A 20,693-nucleotide genomic window follows, 5' to 3' on the forward strand; every position below is an offset into this window, starting at 1 on the left:
GACAGCACTTGCTACATTTTTAAAAATTTTAGCCATTCTGTTAGTTATGTAATGGTATCTCATTGTGGTTTTATTTGCATTTTTCTAATGACGGAAGATGGTGAGCATGATTTTGTGCTTATTGTCCACCCATATATCTTCTTTGGAGAAGTTTTGCCCATGTTTTATTCTTTTAAAAAAATTTTATAGTTGGGCATGGTGGCTTATGCCTGTAATCCCAGCACTTTGGGAGGCCAAGGCAGGCAGATCACCTGAGGTCAGGAGTTCGAGACCAGCCTGGCCAACATAGTGAAACCCCTGTCTCTACTAAAAATACAAAAATTAAGTGGCATGGTGGCACGCACCTGTAGTCCCAGCTACTCTGGAGGCTGAGGCAGGCGAATTGCTTGAACCCAGGAGGTAGAGGTTGCAGTGAGCCGAGATTGTGCCACTGGGTGACAGAGCGAGACTCCATCTCAAAAAAAAAATTTCTTTTTTATAATAGAGATGGCATCTCAGTATGTTGCTCAGGCTGGGCTGGAACTCCTGGGTCCAAGTGATCCTCCTGGCTCAGTCTTCCAACGTGCTGGGATTATAGGTGTGAGCCACCACACCTGGCCCTCTTGTCCATTTTTGTATGGGGTTGCTTGCTTTCTTCTTCTTAAGTTGGAAGAGTTCTTTATGCATTTTGGACTCAAGTCCTTATCAGATATCTGCTTTGCAAATATTTTCTCCCAGCTTTGACTTGCCTTTTCATTCATTAAATAGAGTTTCCTGGAGAGCAGAAAAATGAATTTGGGAAGTATTCCTCTTCTTCAATCTTTTGGAAGAGTTATGTACAATTTATATTATTTATTCCTCAAACATTTGGTAAATACCCTGTGAAGCCATCAGGGACTGAAATTCTCTTTCCTTTTTTTTTTCTTTTTTTGAGACGGAGTCTCACTCTGACTCTGTTGCCCAGGCTGGAGTGCAATGGCACAATCTCAGCTCACTGCAACCTCCGCCTCCCGGGTTCAAGTGATTCTTGTGCCTCAGCCTCCTGAATAGCTGGGACTACAGGTGTGCACCACCACGCCCAGCTAATTTTTGTATTTTTAGTAGAGGAGAGGGCTCACCATTTTGGCCAGGCTGGTCTCGAACTCCTGACCTCAGGTGATCTGCCGGCCTTGGCCTCCCAAAGTACTGGGATCACGGGTGTGAGCCACCGTGCCCAGCCTGGGCCTACAGTTTTCTTTGTATTTTTTTTTTTTTTTTTTTCCTGAGACGGCGTCTTGCTCTGTCGCCAGGCTGGAGTGCAGTGATGTGATCTCGGCTCACTGCAACATCCACCTCCTGGGTTCAAGCAATTCTCCTGCTTCGGCCTCCTGAGTAGCTTGGATTATAGGTGCCCACCACCATGTCTGGCTAATTTTTGTATTTTTAGTAGAGACAGGGTTTTGCCATGTTGGCCAGCCTGGTCTCGAACACCTGACCTCAGGTGATCTACCCGCCTTGGCCTCCTAAAGTGCTGGGATTACAGGTGTGAGCCACCATGACTGGCCTTGTAATTTCTTCCATAAGATGTAATACTATTTAGATGACCTTTCTCCTCTTGAGTGACCTTCGGTAGTTTATGTCTTTCAAAAACATTTGTCCTTTTAATCTAAGTTGTTAAATGTATTGGCATAAAATTGTGAATAATATTCCCTTATTTTCCTCTTAATTTCCGTAGACTCTGGTGATTTTACTCCTCTCGTTCATAGTGATGATTTGTCTTTCTCTTTTTTCCACATCAGTCTAGCTAGAGGATTCTCAATTGTTTTGATCTCCTGAAAGAACCAGCTTTTGGTTTTATTAATTTGCTCTACTCTTTTTCTGTTTTCAATCATTGATTTTCATGCTGATCTTCACTATTTTCTTTCTTCTGCTTTCTTTTGGCTTAGTTTGCTATGAGTTTTCTGGTTTTAAAACGTGAAAATGAAAGCCAATGGCTGGAGACCTTCATGTTGAAATCACTGCCTATAACTGTGGGTTTCTCTAGTTCGCTTTGCAGCATTGTCAGTTTTTGCTTCATATATTCTGAAGATCTGTTATTAGGTACAGAGACATCTAGGTTTGTTATGTCCCCCTGATGAACTGATCCATTTACTAGGATGAAATTACCTTCCTTATTCTTGGGAATATTCTTTGCTCCAAAATTTTACTGTATGTGTTACTAATATAGTAACTCCAGCTTTCTTTTGATTAGTGTTAGTGTGGTATATTTTTCCATCTTTTTTTTTTTTTTTGAGATGGAGTCTCACTCTGTGGCCTAGGCTGGAGTGCAGTGGCACGATCTCAGCTCACTGCAACCTCCGCCTCCTGGGTTCAAGCAATTCTCCTGCCTCAGCCTCCCAAGTAGCTGGGATTACAGGGGCATACCACCACACCCAGCAATTTTTGTATTTTTAGTAGAGACAGGGTTTCACTATGTTGGCCAGGCTGGTCTCGAACTCCTGACCTCAGATGATCCACCCGCCTTGGCCTCCCAAAGTTCTGGGATCACAGGTGTGAGCCACTGCACCTGGTCTATTTTTCTTTTTTAGAAGCTTTAATCTATTTACGTCTTTATATTTAAAGTGTTACTGAAGTGCAACAGGAGATTTTTGGTTGTTTGTTTGTTTGCTTGTTTTTAGTGTATTCCTTGGCTAGGCACAGTGGCTTATGCCTGTAATCCCAGCATTTTGGGAGGCCAAGGTGGGCGGATCACTTGAGGCCAGGAGTTTGAGGCCAGCCTGGCCAACATGGCAAAACCTTGTCACTACTAAAAATTCAAAAATTAGCCAGGTGTGGTGGTGGGCGCCCGTAGTCCCAGCTACTTGGGAGGTGGAGGCAGGAGAATCAGCTGAACCCGGGAAGTAGAGGTTGCAGTGAGCCAAAATTGCGCCACTGCACTCCAATCTGGGCGACAGAGCAAGACTCCATCTCAAAATTAAAAAGTTGTTTCTTATAAGCAGCACATAGTTGGGGGCTGGGACCTGCTTCTTTATCTAATGTGACAACTTCTGACTGTTATTGGGGGTCTTCACACCATTCGCATTTGGCGTCATTATTATTATCTTGTTTGTTTTCTACCTGTACTGTCTAGTATTTGTCCCTCCTTCCCCCTTTTCTGCCTTTTTTGGGTTGAATGTTTCTCAAGGGATTCAATTTTAACTCTTTTGCTGGGGCTTACTATTGCTAACTCTTCTGTGATTTCAGCGGTGGCTTTTGGGTTCATGGTGTCCGTCTGCAGCTCGTTACAGCTGTGGGATGACACTGTGGCATACACGGTGTGGGAACCTCACCGTCATCGGCTTCCATCTCTCCCCTGCTAGCCTTCGTGCTATTGTTGTTGTACATTCTACTTATATTTTATAAACCATACCGTTCATTATTATTTTTAAGTCAATTATCTTTTAAAGATATTTAAATAACATGTTTTAAAATCTTACACATTTCCCCATACAGTTACCATTTCTGTAACACTCTATCCCGCTGCGTGGGTCCATGTCTCTATCATGCCATGTCCCGCCACTTGGGTCCGTGTCTCTATCATGCTCCGCCCCGCCGTGTGGGTCTGTGTCTCTATCACGCTTTACTCCACCACACGGGTCCGTGTCTCTGTCACGTTGTGTCCCGCCGCGTGGGTCCGTGTCACTATCACACTCTGTCCCCACCCTGTGTGTGAGTCTGTGTCTCTATCACGCTTTACTCCACCGTGCTGGTCCGTGTCTCTGTCACGTTGTGTCCCGCCACGCGGCGTCCGCGTCTCTATCACGCTGTGTCCTGTGGCGCGGGTCTCTGTTTGCATCCAGTGCGGTTTTCCTTCTGTCTGAGTGACTTCCATTAGCATTTCTTGTTACATGACTCTGTGGGTGATGAATTCTTTCAGCTTTTGTTTGTCTGAGAAAGGCTATTTTGCCTTCATTTCTGAAAGATATTTTTTTCAGGGTGTAGAATTCTAACAGGCCAGGCATGGTGGCTCACACCGTAATCTCAGCATTTTGGGAGGCTAAGGCAGAAGGGTTGTTGAGGCCCAGGAGTTCAAGACCAGTCAGGGCAACAAAGTGAGATCCTCTCTCTACAAAAAATAAGAAAAACAGGCAAGCGTGTTGGCACGCATCTGTTGTCCCATCTATGTGGGAGGCTGAGGCAGGTGGATTGCTTGAGCCCAGGAGGCTGAGGCTGCAGTAAGTGGCACCCGTATCTGTGCCACTGTGCTCCAGCCTGGGTGACAGAGCAAGGCTCTGCACTATCCCCAGAAAGAATGCTAGGTTGAAGTGTTGTATTTTTTTCAGTAGCTTAATGATGTGGCTCCACCGTCTTCTCACTCACATCGCTCTGACAAGGCATCTGCTGTCATTGTTACTGTTGCTTCTCTGTGTGTGATGTGTGTCTTTCTTCTCTGGCCTTCAAGATTCTTCTTGAGTATTACTTCAGAGCAATCTAACTACTGTGTGCCTTGCTGTCATTTTCTTCATGTTTCTTGTGCTTGGAATTGATTTTCTTGTATCTGTGAGTTTATAGTTTTCATCAAATTTGGAACAATTTTGACAATTATTTCTCCAAGTATTTATGTTGCTTTTGTTCTCCTCTGTGCTGAGGACGCAGACACATGCGTCAGGCTGCCTGAGGCCGCCCGCGGGTCGCTGGTCCTCCCTTCATCTTGGATTCTTTCTCTTTGTGTGTCTCACCGTGGATAGTTTCTGCTGCTTGCCTGCAAGTTTGTTAACCTTTTCTTGGAAATGTCTAATCTGCTATTGGTCTCAGCCAATGTATTCTAAAATGAGACATTATAGTTTTTATTTCTAGAAATGTGATTTGGATCTTTTCAAAAATGCCTTTCACGTCTCTACTTAATTTTTTGAACACATGGAGTATCTGGCATTTTATGTCCTTGTCTGAGAATTCTGACACCTGTGTTGGGCCTTGTCAGTTTGGACTTATTGATTTTCCTTGTCAGGAACTGGATTCTCCTGATTCTTTGCATGCCTCATATGCTGTTGAGTCCTGGATATTTTTATATTCCTATAACTATTCTTGACCTTTGTCTTGGGATACAGTTAATTTACTTGAAAATAGTTTGATCTTTCTGGGTTTTGCTTTTAGGATTTAAGTCTTGGCTGGGTGTGGTGGCTCCTGCCTGTAATCTCAGCACTTGGAGACTGAGGTGGGCAGATCGCTTGAGCTCAGGAGTTCAAGACCAGCCTGGGCAACATGGTGAAACCCCTTCTCTACAGAAAAAAAAAAAACAACCAAAACATTAACTGGGTGTAGTGGAATGGACCTGTGATCCCAGCCACTCAGGAGGCTAAGGTGGGAGGATTGCTTGAGTCTGGGAGGTCAAGGCTGCAGTGAGCCATGACTGCACCACTGCACTCCAGCCTGGGTGATGGAGTGAGACCCTGTCTACAAAATAAATAAATAAATAAATGATTAAAAAAAATTTAAAGCTTCGCTGGGCATGGTGGCTCACGCCTGTAATCCCACCACTTTGGGAGGCCAAGGCAGGTAGATCACCTGAGGTCAGGAGTTCGAGACCAGCCTGAGCAACATGGTGAAACCCCATCCTTACTAAAACACAAAATTAGCAGGGCATGGTGGTGGGCATCTGTAGTCCCAGCTACTCTGGAGGCTGAGACCGGAGAATTTCCTGAACCCGGGAGGCGGAGGTTGCAGTGACCCAAGATCGCACCACTGCACTCCAGCCTAGATGGCAGAGCAAGACTCCATCTCAAAAAAAAAAAAAAATTTAAAGCGTGCTTTTCAATAGATACCATTAAGAAAACAAAAAGGCAAGGCATACAATGGGAGAAAATATTTATAATATATAGAGCTGACAAAGGAGGGGCCCCGCCTGTGTTCCTTGAACAGACGCTCGTGCTGGCTGGGCTGACCAGGAGGGGCCCCTGCCCGTATTCCTTAAACAGACGCCCGCACTGGCCAGGCTGACCAGGAGGGGCCCCTGCCCATAGTCCTTAAACAGATGCCCGCGCTTGCCGGGCTGACCAGGAGGGGCCCCTGCCCATATTCCTTAAACAGACGCCCGCACTGGCCGGGCTGACCAGGAGGGGCCCCCACCCGACAAAGGGACTCTAGGCAGATCCGGCCTCACTGAAGCCACCTGGAGATGCTGGGGGTTAGTGGAAGGCAGATGGTTAGGACCGCAGGGTCCCCAGCAGGGTGGCTTTAGGGGGAGAGGAGAGGATTTCCCTGACCTTTTTCATTGAACGGTGTGTGCCAGGCGAGAAGGTAGTTATTGGGCTTTAGCTGAGCACAGCCTTCAATGGTAGCTGGGTCTGGCCGGCGTTCTGGAAGCTTCTCAACGATTTCCACATAGCATCTCACCATCTCCCGGTACAGATCATCCAGGCACCAGTAGTCTGCGGAAGAAAGGGAGGGCAGACATCAGAGCCAGCTGTGGTGTGAACTGTGGCCTCCCTCCCGCGGGGTCAGGCACCATAGTCTGGGGAAGAAAGGGAGGGCAGACACTGCAAACTCTGCCTCCCGGGTTCACTCCGTTCTCCTGCCTCAGCCTCCTGAGTAGCTGGGACTACAGGTGCCCACCACCACGCCCGGCTAATTTTTTTGTATTTTTAGTAGAGACGGGGTTTCACCATGTCGGCCAGGATGGTCTCGATCTCCTGACCTTGTGATCTGCCCACCTCAGCCTCCCAAAGTGCTGGGATTACAGGCGTGAGCCACTGCACCCAGCCCCACCGTGCCCCTTTTCTAATGGTTCCATCTATGTGGCCACAAACAGAACCGAAACTGGCCTACTCTATGGGCTTGTGACGCCGATGGTGGAGGCCAGTGTGCCCAGCTCCAGCTCCTTCTTCTCTTGCCAGAAACCCAGGTGCTGCAGGGACAGCTGCCACCAAGCAGCATCCCCAGCCCCACAAGCAGTGTTCCGGAAACAAGGGTGGGCTCGAGGCCCTGAAAGACCCTGGGGCACGAGGGTGAAGGAGCTGGACACAGCAGACACCAGCCCTATGCCCAGCACGCGGGAGGCCCAGACGTCCTCCCACAGCAAGGGCTAGTTCTTATTTGCCATATTCCCTGATAAGGCTCAGTGAGGTTATGTGTCTTGGCCAAAGCCAGAGCTGACAAAGGTGTTTGCCTGCAAAGCCCGAGCATTTCTGTGATTAAGTAACCCGCAGTGTGTGGATGGAGTCCACACAGCCTCTAAAATCAGAGCCCTGGTGCCTGGCCATGCCAGGACAGGCTGTGGCAGGCGGATGCCCACCAGGTGGGGCCGGCGAGGGCGCCCCTCCCAACGGCCACTTTAACACCCAGCAACTTGTTTTCATTTTGTACTAAAACTGCACTCTGGGCTTGCGGGTCAGCCCCGGGAGACGCCACTGCTCCCTTTTCCTTGGTGATGAATTCCCCACCTTTGGGGAGGGGAGGGGTGGGAATGAATGGGGAGAGGGAGGCGAAGATGGAGGCTTGGCCCACCCTCCATGGGGCAGAAATGGCACTTGGAAGCAAAAGACCTTCCTGCTGGTGGCTGGGGCCTTTTTCAGCCGCATCAGAGCCAGATGTCCTAGCATGGATGGGTTGGTGAGATTAGGAAGGGCACTTGGCAAAGTCACTCCTCCTCCAGGACATGAAACCTCTGTAGCTGCAAACCCCTGGCGAGAGCATACAGGGCCCCCATGGCTGCAAACCCCTGGAGAGAGCACGCGCGTGTAGGGACCATGGCTGCAAACCCCTGGAGAGAGCACGCACGTGTAGGGACCATGGCTGCAAACCCCTGGAGAGAGTGCACAGGATCCTGAGGCTGCACACCCCCCAGAGAGAGTGCTTGGGGCCCAGCGGCTGCAAACCCCACAGAGAGAGCGTGCAGGGCCCGGCGGCTGCAAACCTCCTCACCTCCTACCACAGAGAGAGTACGCAGGGCCCCACAGCTGCAGGCCCCCCCTCCCCCCTCCCCCCCAGAGAGCACGCAGGGCCCGCAGCTGCAAACCCTCCAGAGAAAACAAGCAGGGCCCCTTGGCTGTGAACCCCCTAGAGAGCGCTCAGGGCCCTGCAGCTGCAAACCCCCCAGAGAGAGTGCACAGGGCCCAGTGGCTGTGAACCTCCCAGAGAGAGCACTCAGGGCCCCATGGCTGTGAACCCCCCAGAGAGAGAGGGCTCCCGTGGCTGCAAACCCCCGGAGAAGTGCTCAGGACAAGGACTGTATGTTGTGTCCTCCTACCACCAGTTCCCTGACCCGGCCCAGCAGAGGCCTCTGAAGAGAGGGGCAGTCCTGGGAGGCGTGGCCGGCTGGCCTGTGCACAGTGTTGTCTACATGCACGGTGTTGTCATATGGGCACGGCGTTGTCTATACTCACAGCATTGTCTACTCTCACGGTGTTGTCTACATGCACAGTGTTGTCTTATGTGCACAGTGTTATCCACATGCACAGTGTTGCCAACACACCTGGTGTCTACATGCGCAGTGTTGTATGTGCATGGTGTTGTCTACACACATGGTATTGTCTGTCCTGCATGTATGATATTGTCATAAATGCATAGCATTGCGCTGTGTAAACACAGGGTGTTTACATGCACCGTGTTGTCATACAGGCATGGCTTTGTCTATATGCACAGTATTGTCTACACGCACAGTGTTGTCTACATGCACGGTGTTGTGTGTGCATGGTGTCTACATGCACGGTGTGTGTGCATGGTGTCTACAGTCACGGTGTTGTGTGTGCATGGTGTCTACATGCAAGTTGTATGTGCATGGTGTCTACACTCACGGTGTTGTGTGTGCATGGTGTCTACATGCACGGTGTTGTGTGTGCATGGTGTCTACATGCACGGTGTTGTGTGTGTATGGTGTCTACATGCACGGTGTTGTGTGTGCATGGTGTCTACATGCATGGTGTGTGTGCATGGTGTCTACAGTCACGGTGTTGTGTGTGCATGGTGTCTACATGCAAGTTGTATGTGCATGGCGTCTACACTCACGGTGTTGTGTGTGCATGGCGTCTACACGCACGGTGTTGTGTGTGCATGGCGTCTACACGCACGGTGTTGTGTGTGCATGGCGTCTACACGCACGGTGTTGTGTGTGCATGGCGTCTACACGCACGGTGTTGTGTGTGCATGGCGTCTACACGCACGGTGTTGTGTGTGCATGGCGTCTACACTCACGGTGTTGTGTGTGTATGGCGTCTACATGCAAGGTGTTGTGTGTGCATGGCGTCTACATGCACGGTGTTGTGTGTGCATGGTGTCTACACTCATGGTGGTGTGTGTGTATGGTGTCTACATGCACGGTGTTGTGTGTGCATGGTGTCTACACTCATGGTGTTGTGTGTGCATGGTGTCTACACTCACGGTGTTTTGTGTGCATGGTGTCTACATGCACATTGTATGTGTATGGTGTCTACACACATGTTGTCTGCACACATGGTGTTGTGTGCATGCACAGTATTGTTTTACATGACGCCATGTTCATCACCCCAGTTCTGAGTCAGGGAGGAGAGAGAATGTGGCAAGACTGTGGTTTGGGAGACACGAGTCCTGCAGTCTCATAGGAGAGGTGTGAGGGCTGCATTCCTGCAGGAATTAAGGTCACCTTCGCCTGCACCCGAAACCCCTGGATGGGGGTACAGCTGCGTGGCTTTGTCCAGGCTGTGTCTAAACCCAGTGTGTGCCCCTCACAGTCACCGGCACAGTGGATCCACAAACAGCCTTTCTCAACTCAGTCCTGGGTTAACAAGCCTAGCCCTTCCTGAGTCCCCTAAAAGGATTCATTTTATTCTGGAATTAGACATGAAATGTCTGTATTCAACTGAAATTTAGCCTTTTCAAAGCAAACAGAAGCCATAAAACAAAATGGCACAAACAGCATTGTCTTTTCAGGTTAGAATTTAAGCGAGAAACAGATTTTCAAAGCTGCTACCCTTGGGCTTCTCCCCGGGTCTCTTTCCTTTGGGACACTCCACTCCTGTCTCCTGTCTTCCCTGTCTGGTCTCCTGAAAGACAAATCAGTTTCTAAAGCTGCCTGAGGGGCCGGGTGCAGTGGCTCACACCTGTAATCCCAGCACTTTGGGAGGCTGGGATGGGCAGATCATAAGGTCAGGAGTTCGAGACCAGCCTGGGCAACATAGTGAAACCCCCGTCTCTACTAAAAATACAAAGTTAGCCCAGCCTCTCAGGAGGCTGAGGCAGGAGAATCGCTTGAACTCAGGAGGTGGAGGTTGCAGTGAGCCGAGATCGCGCCACTGTACTCCAGCCCGGGCAAAAGAGTGAGACTATGTCCCAAAAAAAAAAAAAAAAAAAAAAAAAATGGTGCCTGAGTCTCCCAACCCATGTCTCAATAAAGAAAAGGCAAAATACTAACATCCAGTGATCTTGTAGCAAAATGTCAACTGTTTCCAAACGTTTTCTGCCATGAGCTGAAGTGCCACTCCCAGTTATCAGGGCCCCGGGAGAGGCTGAGAAGGTGCTGGCCCTGTGCCCTGGAGGCTGTGGCCAGGTGACACCTCCCGCCATCCTGCTGGGCCCTGAAGTTGGCTGAGTGAGCCTCAGGGCAGAGACATGTCAGATGTGCCTTCGGCCACACGGGCCTGCACCAACTTCCCACACTGGCCTAAGTGCTTCCTCACACTTTGCTGGTTGCTCCGTTTAATCCTCTGTGACCTTGTGAGGGAGGAAGGCCCTGGGAGGGAAGCCACTTCCCCAGTTTTCCCAGGGAGTGGGGGTAGGGAGCTGGGAATGGCCAGCTGCATACCCGAGCAATGGCCGAGCTCTCTGTGCGAGGCCGCCCCTCCCCAGGCCTGGCACACACACACACCTGCTAAACGCTTGCCAAGTGACTTGGTGATAATGCGCTGGCAACATGGGCTTGTCGTTTCAGGGCCATGGATGCCACCTCTCCTATGTGTCTTGTAGAGCGCTAGACACGGCTACTTCCTGGTTCAGAGTCTGCTCTCGTGCCCTGTTCAGAGAGGCTCACCCGGAAGGAGGCAGCCCCAGTCAGAGAGGCTCACCCGGAAGGAGGCAGCCCCAGTCAGAGAGGCTCACCCGGAAGGAGGCAGCCCCAGTCAGAGAGGCTCACCGGGAAGGAGGGACCCTGTTCAGAGAGACACACCCGGAAGGAGTGAGCCCCGGTCAGAGAGGCTCACCCGGAAGGAGGGAGCCCTGTTCAGAGAGACACACCCGGAAGGAGGGACCCTGTTCAGAGAGGCTCACCCGGAAGGAGGCAGCCCTGTTCAGAGAGACACACCTGGAAGGAGTGAGCCCCGTTCAGAGAGACACACCCGGAAGGAGGCAGCCCGGTTCAGAGAGGCTCACCCAGAAGGAGACAGCCCTGTTCAGAGGCTCACCCGGAAGGAGGGAGCCCCGTTCAGAGAGACACACCCGGAAGGAGGCAGCCCGGTTCAGAGAGGCTCACCCGGAAGGAGGGAGCCACACAGGCTGCCCCGACCCTCAGACCTGTGCTCACTCTAGCAGCAGAGCCAGGGTTTGCCAGACCACACAGCCCCGTGGCTCGTGGGGTGAAGGACTTTTCAGTGCAGCTTACTTAAAGCTGCCAAACGTAGTTCCATTTGTAAAAGTCTGCCTGTCTTTGGAAAGCATGCTGAAGAGCCCCTGCACACTGCAATTGTTAGGATACCTGCAGGCCACCGTGATCTCAGCAGTCAGGGAGGATGCTTACGAGCACAGGGGCCAGATTCTCTGGTTCCCGTCCAAGCTCTGCCACTCGCTGGGCTGTGTGGCACTGGGCAAGCGCCTGAACCTCTCTGTATGTCAATTTTTTCTCCTGTAAGATTGTGATAAAATCAGCCTCCACGGTGATGTGAGGAGCATGTGTGGAGGATAACATGCGTGAAGCAGCTGGAACAATGCCTGGTACAGAAGTGCTGTGGAGTCAGCACTCACCATTGTCGTTTTGTAGAGATGGAGTCTTGCTATGTTTCCTAGGCTGATCTAGAACTCCTGGGCTCAGGCAATCTGCCCACCGTGGCCTCCCACAATGCTGGGATTGCAGACGTGAGCCACTGTGCCCAGCCCTCACCATTGTTAACACAGCTTAAAGACCCCCTTCCATAGGCTACAATTTGTTATTTAAAGAACAAAGATAAACTTAAGTGAAATTTCGACTTTGATTTTTAGTGAGTTGAAAAAAATCTGCTTGCTTTGGTTTCTAGAGGGGTAAGCTGTAGGGACCAGCCCCACAGGGTCGGTGGGTCTCTCCCTGTGTGCAGTGACGAGAGAGTGTAGAAATAAAGACACAAGACAAGAGATAAGAGAAAAGGCAGCTGGGCCCGGGGGACCACTACTACCAATGCACGGAGACCGGTAGTGGCCCCGAATGTCTGGCTGCACTGTTATTTATTGGATACAAGGCAGAAGGGGCAGGGTAAAGAATGCGAGTCACCTCCAATGGTAGGTAAGGTCATGTGGGTCACGTGTCCACTGGACAGGGGGCCCTTCCCTGCCTGGCAGCCGAGGCAGAGAGGGAGAGGAGACAGAGAGAAAGACAGCTTATGCCATTATTTCTGCATATCAGGGACTATTAGTACTGATAGTACTAATTTTTCACTAATTTACTACTGCTATCTAGAAGGCAGAGCCAGGTGTACAGGATGGAACATGAAGGCAGACTAGGAGTGTGACCACTGAAGCACAGCATCACAGGGAGACGGTTAGGCCTCCGGATAACTGCGGGCGAGCCTGACTCATGTCAGGCCCTCCACAAGAGGTGGAAGAGCAGTCTTCTCTAAACTCCCCTGGGGAAAGGGAGACCCCCCCCCCCTTCCTGGTCTGCTAAGTAGCAGGTGTTGTTCCTTGCCACCTTTTGCTACTGCTGGACCACGATCCGCCTGGTAACGGGCGTCTTCCCAGACGCTGGCGTCACAGCTAGACCAAGGAGCCATCTGGTGGCCCTGTCCGGGCATAACAGAAGGCTCGCACTCTTGTCTTCTGGTCACACCTCACTATGTCCCCTCAGCTCCTATCTCTGTATGGCCTGGTTTTTCCTAGGCTATGATTATAGAGCGAGGATTATCATAATATTGGAATAAAAAGTAATTGCTACAAACTAATGATTAATGATATTCATATATAATCATATCTAAGATCTATATCTGGTATAACTATTCTTGTTTTATTATACTGGAACAGCTCGTGTCCTCTGTCTCTTGCCTCAGTGCCTGGGTGGCTTGCCGCCCACAGTAAGCAATTCCAGGGGTGATCTTGGATGCGTATTTTCTCATGACCCACAAACTAGACGCTGCAGCAGCACAGTGAACCCTCCCTTCCAGTCCACAGCTGAGGACCCTGAGAGCTTAGAGCAAACTTACTTCCTCCTTAAGAATAGCGCCCCATGGTGGCTCACGCCTGTCATCCCAGCACTTTGGGAAGCTGAGGTGGGTGGATCACTTGAGGTCAGGAGTTCGAGACCAGCCTGGACAACGTGGTGAAACCCCGTCTCTACTAAAAATACAAAAATCAGCCGGGCGTGGTGGTGGGCACCTGTAGCCCCAGCTACTCAGGAGGCTGAGGCAGGAGAATCACTTGAACCTGGGAGGTGGAGGTTGCAGTGAGCTGAGATCACGCCACTGCACTCCAGCCTGGGCGATGGAGAAAGACTCCGTCTCAAAAAACAAACAAAAAACAGTGCCCTAAACGTCCGTAACCCTTTTAACTGTGTGAATTTCGTGTCCTGTTGGGCCGATCTCCGTCGGTGCACTTTTGGAGTGTCCTGTGCCGCTGCCCTCCCTGCGGGCCTGGCAGGACCAGACCCACAGCCATGGACGCTGCCATTTACAAAACGCCCACCAAGTGCTACCAGAAATGGGACATGCAGAGCTGGTATGAGCGCACACACGGCATCAGACGCCCAGAGGAAGCCAAACTCAAGAGTGAGCTCCAGCCGTCTACGGTGAAAACAAGCCGGAGCTGTGTCCCACAGGTGTCTGTGTGTGGGGTGCACCTGTTCTGGGCTGCGGGGCACAAGCATGGGGTTGCTGGTCCTAAGGGCACACGAGTGGCCGCCTGGAAAACCAGAAGCAGGAGCTCCTGGACGCCAAGGCTGTGAACAGTCGGACGCCTCCCCGTCTCCAGCAAGCCGGGAGCCTTATCTTATCGCCGGCGCTTCAGCTCTCCCGTTATTTAGGGACCGGCCACAGGCTCGATGGCATTCCTCTGCTGTGAGCACAGAACTAAACTGGGCACGTCCATGGCAGATGAACAGAATGGTGGAGTGAACGCATAAGTGAGATTTCATTGACTTAGCTGCAGCCCTCAGATTTTAATTCTGCCATGATAAACAGCACCCACGGGGTTTTGAAGAGCAAATGCCTCGTAGGAAAGCTGGACTGCATGTCTGTGCACCTGCCATTTCCCTGAAATTCATGCAAAAGCTTGATCCTAAAATCAATTTGCTACTTAAAGGTATTTTAAGAAGCTTTGTCTCCAATCTCGTCCAATCAAGTTTATGTCATTTTCTTAGAACACATTTGTGTATGGGCAACTCTCCAAGCTGAACCATTTTGGGAGATGATATTCTAACTTTAATTCATTGGAATTTAGAACTAATCCCCAAACAGTATTAATGGGTTCACATTTCAAACTGGCTTATTTTACATCCCTTTGTAATGAATTCAGAACAAGAAGGCTTAATCTCTGCAGCGAGAAGTGAGCCCTCACCCTACTCCCACCAGCACGGCCGAGAGAGGCTTCACTGGCTTTAACTCTATTAGAAACAGAAGGTGCTAGGCCTAGTTAACGCTTTACAAATACAAGTGAAAAGTCACGTTTAAAAACTGAATCTTAATAACTGCAAAGTAAAGTAATACTGTCACCCTCAGAGAAACCACAGGAGAAACGTGATCTGCCGCATATCAAATTTGAGGGACACTCAGATTAAATTGCCACTTTTAGCAGCGGTATCAGGTAACACCATCCGCTGAAGGACCGCACTGCCTTCAAAGCTCTCGGAGGCTTACTGGGAGAACTCGAGCAGCCAGTGTTCCCTCCAGCCCGCACACCGGAGCGCGGTGGGCCCAGCCTACCTGTGGTGAGGGCCTCGGCGGTTGCGATGTGCATGATGGTGTTGTCACTCACGGGCCATTCTCCTGGCGAGAGTACGAGGTGGTCCAGGCCCCCGGAACGTTGCAGCTCCTCCTGGATCTTCATGCCTACAGTGCTGTTCTCCTTGCAGACATTTCTGTAGCCAAGAGCATCGCCGACGCTCCCCAGCAACATCGCAGCCTTAAATTTCTCCATCCCAGGAGGCAGCTCCTCTTCCCCAACAGCTGCGGAGCGTCCTGGCCTTTGTCTCCTCCTCAGCCCGCCTGACTTTTATAGTGGTCACTGTGTCACTGTCAGGAGCGTCCTCTGATGGCCAGGCGCTCCTTGTCTATCTCTGCAGGTGGCACCAATGAGAGGACCTTTCTGTCCCCCACGTGGGAGGTGTCAGTTTTCTTCTGCGTCTGGACAGGCACCAGCTCCTCAGCAGAGGAGCCTGCTAGCTTCTGCCGGCAGCCGCAGCACATTCAGAGCGTTGACAGAGCAGGGGCTCCTCTCGCTGTCCCTGGAAGGAGTGCGCACACTTCCCCGTGTGTGGCGTGGGGTGATGCGGGAGCAGATGTGTGCAGGCGTGCCTGTCACTGCCGCCCGCTGCGGGGCGTGCCCTCACCCCTCGGGCAACAACCCATCTGCTGTCTCTACAGTTCTGCCTTTCCTGGACATTTCAAATACAATGTGTGGCCTTCGGTGTCTGGCTTCCTTCACTCAACATAATGTTGAGATTAATCTGTGACATGCGGTTTTATCATTTAGAAAACTTTTCGATTATGAAATGTGTTTTTGATAGAAAACTTTTAAAAAATGCAGTGTAGAGGGAACAAAGTCTATCTAGCTCCTGTGTGAACAATGACGGTGTCTTCTCAGCATGCGGTGTTTAACGGCTCCCAAATAATTGGACTGCACTGAGGGGGAAAGTCGTCAGCAAACCGCAGGCTTCACTAGAACCTCCCATCCGGCCCTCGGTCAGCTCAGTGTATTTACATCATCCCTGCTAGCTCATGAAAAGAATATTAAAAAATATGGAGACGGGGGGTGAGGCAGAATGCACACAGCCAGGGTTCCTGGTTTGAAATAAATTAGGAAAACAGTCCATCTCCCGACCCCACCCCAGGACAGTTCTCCGCAGAGGCCGGGAGCCCAGCAGGGCTGTGTCTCTCCCGTCTCCTTCCTCGGGGCCTGGTTTCCATCAGACCCAGGGGAAGCAAAGAGTTACACCTGGACTGAAGAAATGCGTCTGATAAAAACTCTCGTAGTGTACAGCGAGACAGTAGGAAGCATTTAACCGCCTGGCGTTATATCAGCACTTGTTAAAACGGAGGATCTCAAGCAGTGAGTTCACCTCACCCTCCACTGTCTGCTGGTGGAGGCAGCCATCAGCACAGTCATGCCAGCTAGCATGATCCTGAGATTCAGAAACAAACTTCAAAACCAGCATGCAGGCCGGGCGCGGTGGCTCATGGCTGTAATCCCAGCACTTTGGGAGGCCGAGGCGGGCGGATCCCCTGAGCTCAGGATTTTGAGGCCAGCCTGACCAATATGATGAAACCCCGTCTCTACTAAAAATACAAAAATTAGCCGGGCATGGTGGTGGGCACCTGTAATCCCAGCTACTTGGGAGGCTGAGATAGGAGGATCACTTGAACCTAGGAGGCAGAGGTTGCAGTGAGCCGAGATCACGCCATTGCACTCCAGCCTGGGCAACAAGAGCAAAACTCTGTCTCAGAAACAAACAAACAAACAAACAAAACTCCAAAACAAAAAACAGCATGCACGCAGGGTCCCTATCCAAACAAGACAGACAGGAGGGGCGGCCCTTCGTTCAAACTCTCACCTGTTTTAGGCACAACTGCACTGTGGGGCCGAAGCGTGTGCTGCTGAGGGGATTAACACAGCCCGCTCGCTGAGCGCTTCAGTTCGCAGGCGGCGGAAACCTTTGCCAAGAGCACTAGCTGGCTCCCTCAGCAAACAGGACGGGATAAGGTTAGCTCGTTTATCCAACAAATATTTGCAGAGCCCCTACTTTGTACCTGAAACTGTGGACACAGCAACAAGGATCAGAAGAAAGTTTATTCTTGGCCCCAAGAAGCCTGAGGTCTAAAATGGATATAAACTTCAAGCGAAAATAACACAATGACATGTACAATGTCACTGAGAGGAGCTGGCGTTGTTGATTCCGGAACGCTGGCAGGTGCACCGTGAATCGGCAGGTAGCACATGATCCTCAGACCCCCGTGCTTGGCCGTTTGCCTCCGATAAGGGACGGTTTCCAGCAGTTTGTGCTGGCACACATGACCTCCTGCCCCGACACACTCCCGTAAATCCTGCCTATTGTGAGATCTCTCATTCCTCACATGAGCCACCCCATCAGGTGCACGGTGCACCGCTGAGAGGCAACGCAATGACAGAAGGTACCTGAGGACCTGGTTACCTGGCCAGGGCTGGCGGGCCACACACGGGGGCAGGGGCTTGCCCGCTGGTTGCTAGCTGGGGGCTGTTCTCTCATCCTGGGACAATGACGTGGATGCTGACACCTATAGGCAGACATCCCTGCAGCTGAGGAGAATCGAAAGGAAACCACGCCCGAGAAAAACCAATTTAATGCTTCTGTTCTCAGCATTTCACAGCATGCAGGACTCAAATGGATACAACAGAAGAAAAAAACCCACAATTTTTGGAAAAGCCTTTGTCCAATGATTAATATTTTGATATCTATTGACAATCCCTTAGAACTTTAAATCTCAAAAACAAAAAAGTACTGTGGATCTCCATAGTTTATACAGAATTATGTGAATTCTATAAACTTTTCTGAACAAAACAATTACATGTCAAGAATCCATGAAGCCTGGAAGATACGCTCACGTTTTTGAGGTTTGTATTAATGCCAGTTTTTATTGTATTAGACAAATGCTCTCTGAGAATCGAAGACTTCTAAAGGTAGACAGGCCCAGTTTCCCATTAGAGTTCTGGAAGCAGAGCCTGGGGAAGGTCTGTCACTTGCCCATCACTGGACCAGCCAGAAGCCAGCGGGGGCCAGGCGGGGTCTGCAGGCTGCAGGTCCCTTCCAGTCCTGTCCCTGCTGCCCTCTGTGACCATCTCTGCTAAGAAACATCGACAGTTCGTCCTGCAGCCTCCAAGCACACTAACCTCAGCCATCAGATGTTCCTGAAGCCCAGGGTAAGTCCTGTTCTCAGAAGCCAACCCAGCTGCTTGTCTGGGCCATGCTCTCTCACACCGCAGCTAGGTCATCTGCGGCGACTCTCCTCTGTGCTGGGCAGCAGCTCCAGCTGGTCCACGTCCTGCACAGTGCTGCAGGGGGGCAGCAAGGCACGCCTGTGACATGAGAGTCTCGGCACGTGAGGTAGGGTCAACAGTGATGTCCACAACTCAATACCAGCCCTCCACACCTCGGCAGCACTCGTGGGTCCTCCTCAACCAGGCGGACACGAGAAACAGATGATAACATGGTGCAAGGACAGACTTCAGCTCACCAATCAGATGAAGGTTTTGGGGTTGGGTTTTTTCAGACAACGATGTACATTTTAGCTTCCAAATGTGCACAGGGGCACAAAGGTCTGGATGCTGGGCACTACGGGTACCACAAGAGGATGGAAAGAACCAGCTCATTCGGTTTTATTGTATGTATGTATGTATTTATTTTGAGACAGAATCTCACTCTGTCGTCCAGGCTGGAGTGCAGTGGCGCGATCTCGACTCACTGTAACCTCCGTCTCCTGAGTTCAAGCGAATCTCCTGCCTCAGCCTCCTGAGTAGCTGGGATTACAGGCATGTGCCACCATGCCCGGCTAATTTTTGTATTTTTAGTAGAGACAGGGTTTCACCATGTTGGCCAGGCTGGTCTCAAACTCCTGACCTCAGGTGATCCACCTGCCTCGGCCTCCCAAAATGCTGGGATTACAGGTGTGAGCCACCACGCCCGGCCTTGATTTTAAAATCTATAATTCATCACTCATAAAATAAATGTTTTTCATGGAAAAATGTCTTTTTAAATGTAATTAAAATATATTTTAAAAAAACATACTTTATGAAGCTTCTCAGGCAGGTCAAATAATATTTAAGTAAGAGAGGCCCAGTGATATATAAACGGTGTGAGATAAACTCTGCTGGAATCGTGCCACGTGTGCCGTTGCTATGCAAAGCTACATGGGGATTGAGAACCATAAAATGATTTTCAGATGAATGTCTAGAGAAAATGAAAACAAAAATAGAGCTGGTAAATCTAGATATTTGGTAATTCAAAAAATATAAATCGTGAATTGCTGGCACCAATTTTAAAAAACATTAGACTCTACGACAAGATCCTCTCCCTTAGGGCACATTCTTAACAGCTTTGACGTGTATAAAAACGCAGCGCCCTGCAGAGGACACATGCCGTGTTGCCAGTGCCACCGCAACGTCATTCGGCGGGACGCTGCCGGACGCTGGTTCGCCTGACGCGCGAGCTACGCAGCATGCTCTGCGGTCCCACAGGCGGCGCTATGGCTCTACCTTAGTATTTTGTAAATATTAAAAAATCATGCAGAAATTTCCTAACGCAAAAGCTATGATGACAAATCTCCAAACATCCCAAAGCAGCCGTGTCCCGAGGAACTTCCTGCGGTGTCCACAAAGCAGCCGCTGGCTGTCCTCCGGCAGAATGGGATGGCGCCTCTGGTTTCATGGCTGGTCAAGAATGACTTCTGGAATCAGCGACAATGCACCCAGGAACTGACTGCAATCTCCTTGCAGGATACAAATCATTTCATAATCTTACTCCTGCTTAACTTGCTGCCTAGAAAAGGCTGCGTTTTCCACCTGTGACTACTGGCCGTGCATATTCTACAAAATCATCTATAAGAACGGGCCAAGCTCCTAAAGGAAAGCAAGCAAACAGAAAACCCGTTAGAGCACCGTTTTTATCTCCAAAGCACTGAGTCACACATCAATCCAACATTTACACTTCAAGAACCCAAATGACTTGAGGTCCACACCATTTGTGTTTCACAGAATGAACCAGCCCAAGTTACCCAGTTCTTTCGCCCTAGCACGGCCAGGTCGGGAGCCCTGGTGTGTGTGTGCTGGCATGTCTAGGGGGCTGTGGGCTCACAGTGGCCCCGGATGCTCGGTGAGTGCCCCAGGCAGTCACACCAGCTGCTCAGGAAGGGAGCTAAATGGACCCCCGCGGAGCAGGAGGCATGTTCCTCAGGTCATTGGTATTCTTGCCAGCAGGGGGTGCTCCCTCCTGCGGCTCTTCCCAAGTGGGACCACCCCATTGCTCCCTTCCCCACCCCGGCAGCCCTGAGTGCCCTCTGAGCTCCTGCACTGCTGCCTCAATCCTGGAAGCCGCGCTTCTGTCAATGAGATTCAGTGATCCCTTCTTTCATTTGACAAGCATTTACTGGGTGCCCCTGATCTAGGGACGGTGCAAAGTGTGGAGGACACAAAGAGAAGCAGAAGCTAAAACAGGCAGACAGACACGTAAACCACCCGTTAAAGGCACGGCGCCAGGGCCCAGAACAGATCACTGCCCGCCGAGGGGGCAGGGAGGAAGCAAAGTGGGTGGGAGCCTAGAGGGGAGGCCTTCCACCCAGAGACCATCCCTCTCTAAGGTGGCAGCGTGCCCAGCACACAGCAGGCTCCAAAGGCCCTCCAACGCAGAGTCCTAAACACGGGGGGAGACA

At 50.7% G+C, this 20,693-nt stretch overlaps 2 protein-coding genes across 12 annotated transcripts in view, besides 5 other annotated features; both read right to left on the minus strand.

Annotated features, from left to right (window-relative positions):
- ADPRHL1 (ADP-ribosylhydrolase like 1) overlaps positions 1–15,264 on the minus strand; it is a 53,879-nt gene extending 38,615 nt beyond the window's left edge. For 2 of the 4 annotated variants that reach the window (NM_001394807.1, NM_138430.5), the window contains exons 1-2: positions 15,000–15,264; positions 6,201–6,365 (exon numbers count right to left, since the gene is read on the minus strand). In NM_001394807.1, the coding sequence (NP_001381736.1) occupies positions 6,201–6,365; positions 15,000–15,213 (379 nt within the window). In that variant the 5' untranslated portion in view covers positions 15,214–15,264. The other 2 variants (XM_047430086.1, NM_199162.3) reach the window with 2 other exon arrangements.
- Positions 7,666–8,607: an enhancer, noted in NCBI's record as "H3K4me1 hESC enhancer chr13:114100205-114101146 (GRCh37/hg19 assembly coordinates)". NCBI's record gives its function as "activates a minimal SCP1, AML or CMV promoter by ChIP-STARR-seq in primed H9 embryonic stem cells {active_cell/tissue: H9 hESC(primed)}" and the evidence as "EXISTENCE:reporter gene assay evidence [ECO:0000049][PMID:30033119]".
- Positions 7,867–7,966: a silencer, noted in NCBI's record as "silent region_5547". NCBI's record gives its function as "represses an Ori minimal core promoter by ATAC-STARR-seq in GM12878 lymphoblastoid cells {active_cell/tissue: GM12878}" and the evidence as "EXISTENCE:reporter gene assay evidence [ECO:0000049][PMID:35858748]".
- Positions 10,935–11,294: an enhancer, noted in NCBI's record as "active region_8038". NCBI's record gives its function as "activates an Ori minimal core promoter by ATAC-STARR-seq in GM12878 lymphoblastoid cells {active_cell/tissue: GM12878}" and the evidence as "EXISTENCE:reporter gene assay evidence [ECO:0000049][PMID:35858748]".
- Positions 13,296–13,797: an enhancer, noted in NCBI's record as "H3K4me1 hESC enhancer chr13:114105835-114106336 (GRCh37/hg19 assembly coordinates)". NCBI's record gives its function as "activates a minimal SCP1, AML or CMV promoter by ChIP-STARR-seq in naive H9 embryonic stem cells {active_cell/tissue: H9 hESC(naive)}" and the evidence as "EXISTENCE:reporter gene assay evidence [ECO:0000049][PMID:30033119]".
- Positions 15,265–17,594: 2,330 nt separating the features above from the next.
- DCUN1D2 (defective in cullin neddylation 1 domain containing 2) overlaps positions 17,595–20,693 on the minus strand; it is a 35,745-nt gene continuing 32,646 nt past the window's right edge. For all 8 annotated transcript variants that reach the window (XM_017020647.2, XM_017020649.2, NM_001014283.2 and 5 more), the window contains one exon: positions 17,595–19,884. In XM_017020647.2, the coding sequence (XP_016876136.1) occupies positions 19,805–19,884 (80 nt within the window). In that variant the 3' untranslated portion in view covers positions 17,595–19,804. The remainder of the gene's footprint in view (positions 19,885–20,693) is intronic.
- Positions 17,794–18,724: an enhancer, noted in NCBI's record as "H3K4me1 hESC enhancer chr13:114110333-114111263 (GRCh37/hg19 assembly coordinates)". NCBI's record gives its function as "activates a minimal SCP1, AML or CMV promoter by ChIP-STARR-seq in naive H9 embryonic stem cells {active_cell/tissue: H9 hESC(naive)}" and the evidence as "EXISTENCE:reporter gene assay evidence [ECO:0000049][PMID:30033119]".

This window comes from Homo sapiens, chromosome 13 (assembly GCF_000001405.40).
Source record: "Homo sapiens chromosome 13, GRCh38.p14 Primary Assembly".
Classification (NCBI taxonomy): domain Eukaryota; kingdom Metazoa; phylum Chordata; class Mammalia; order Primates; family Hominidae; genus Homo; species Homo sapiens.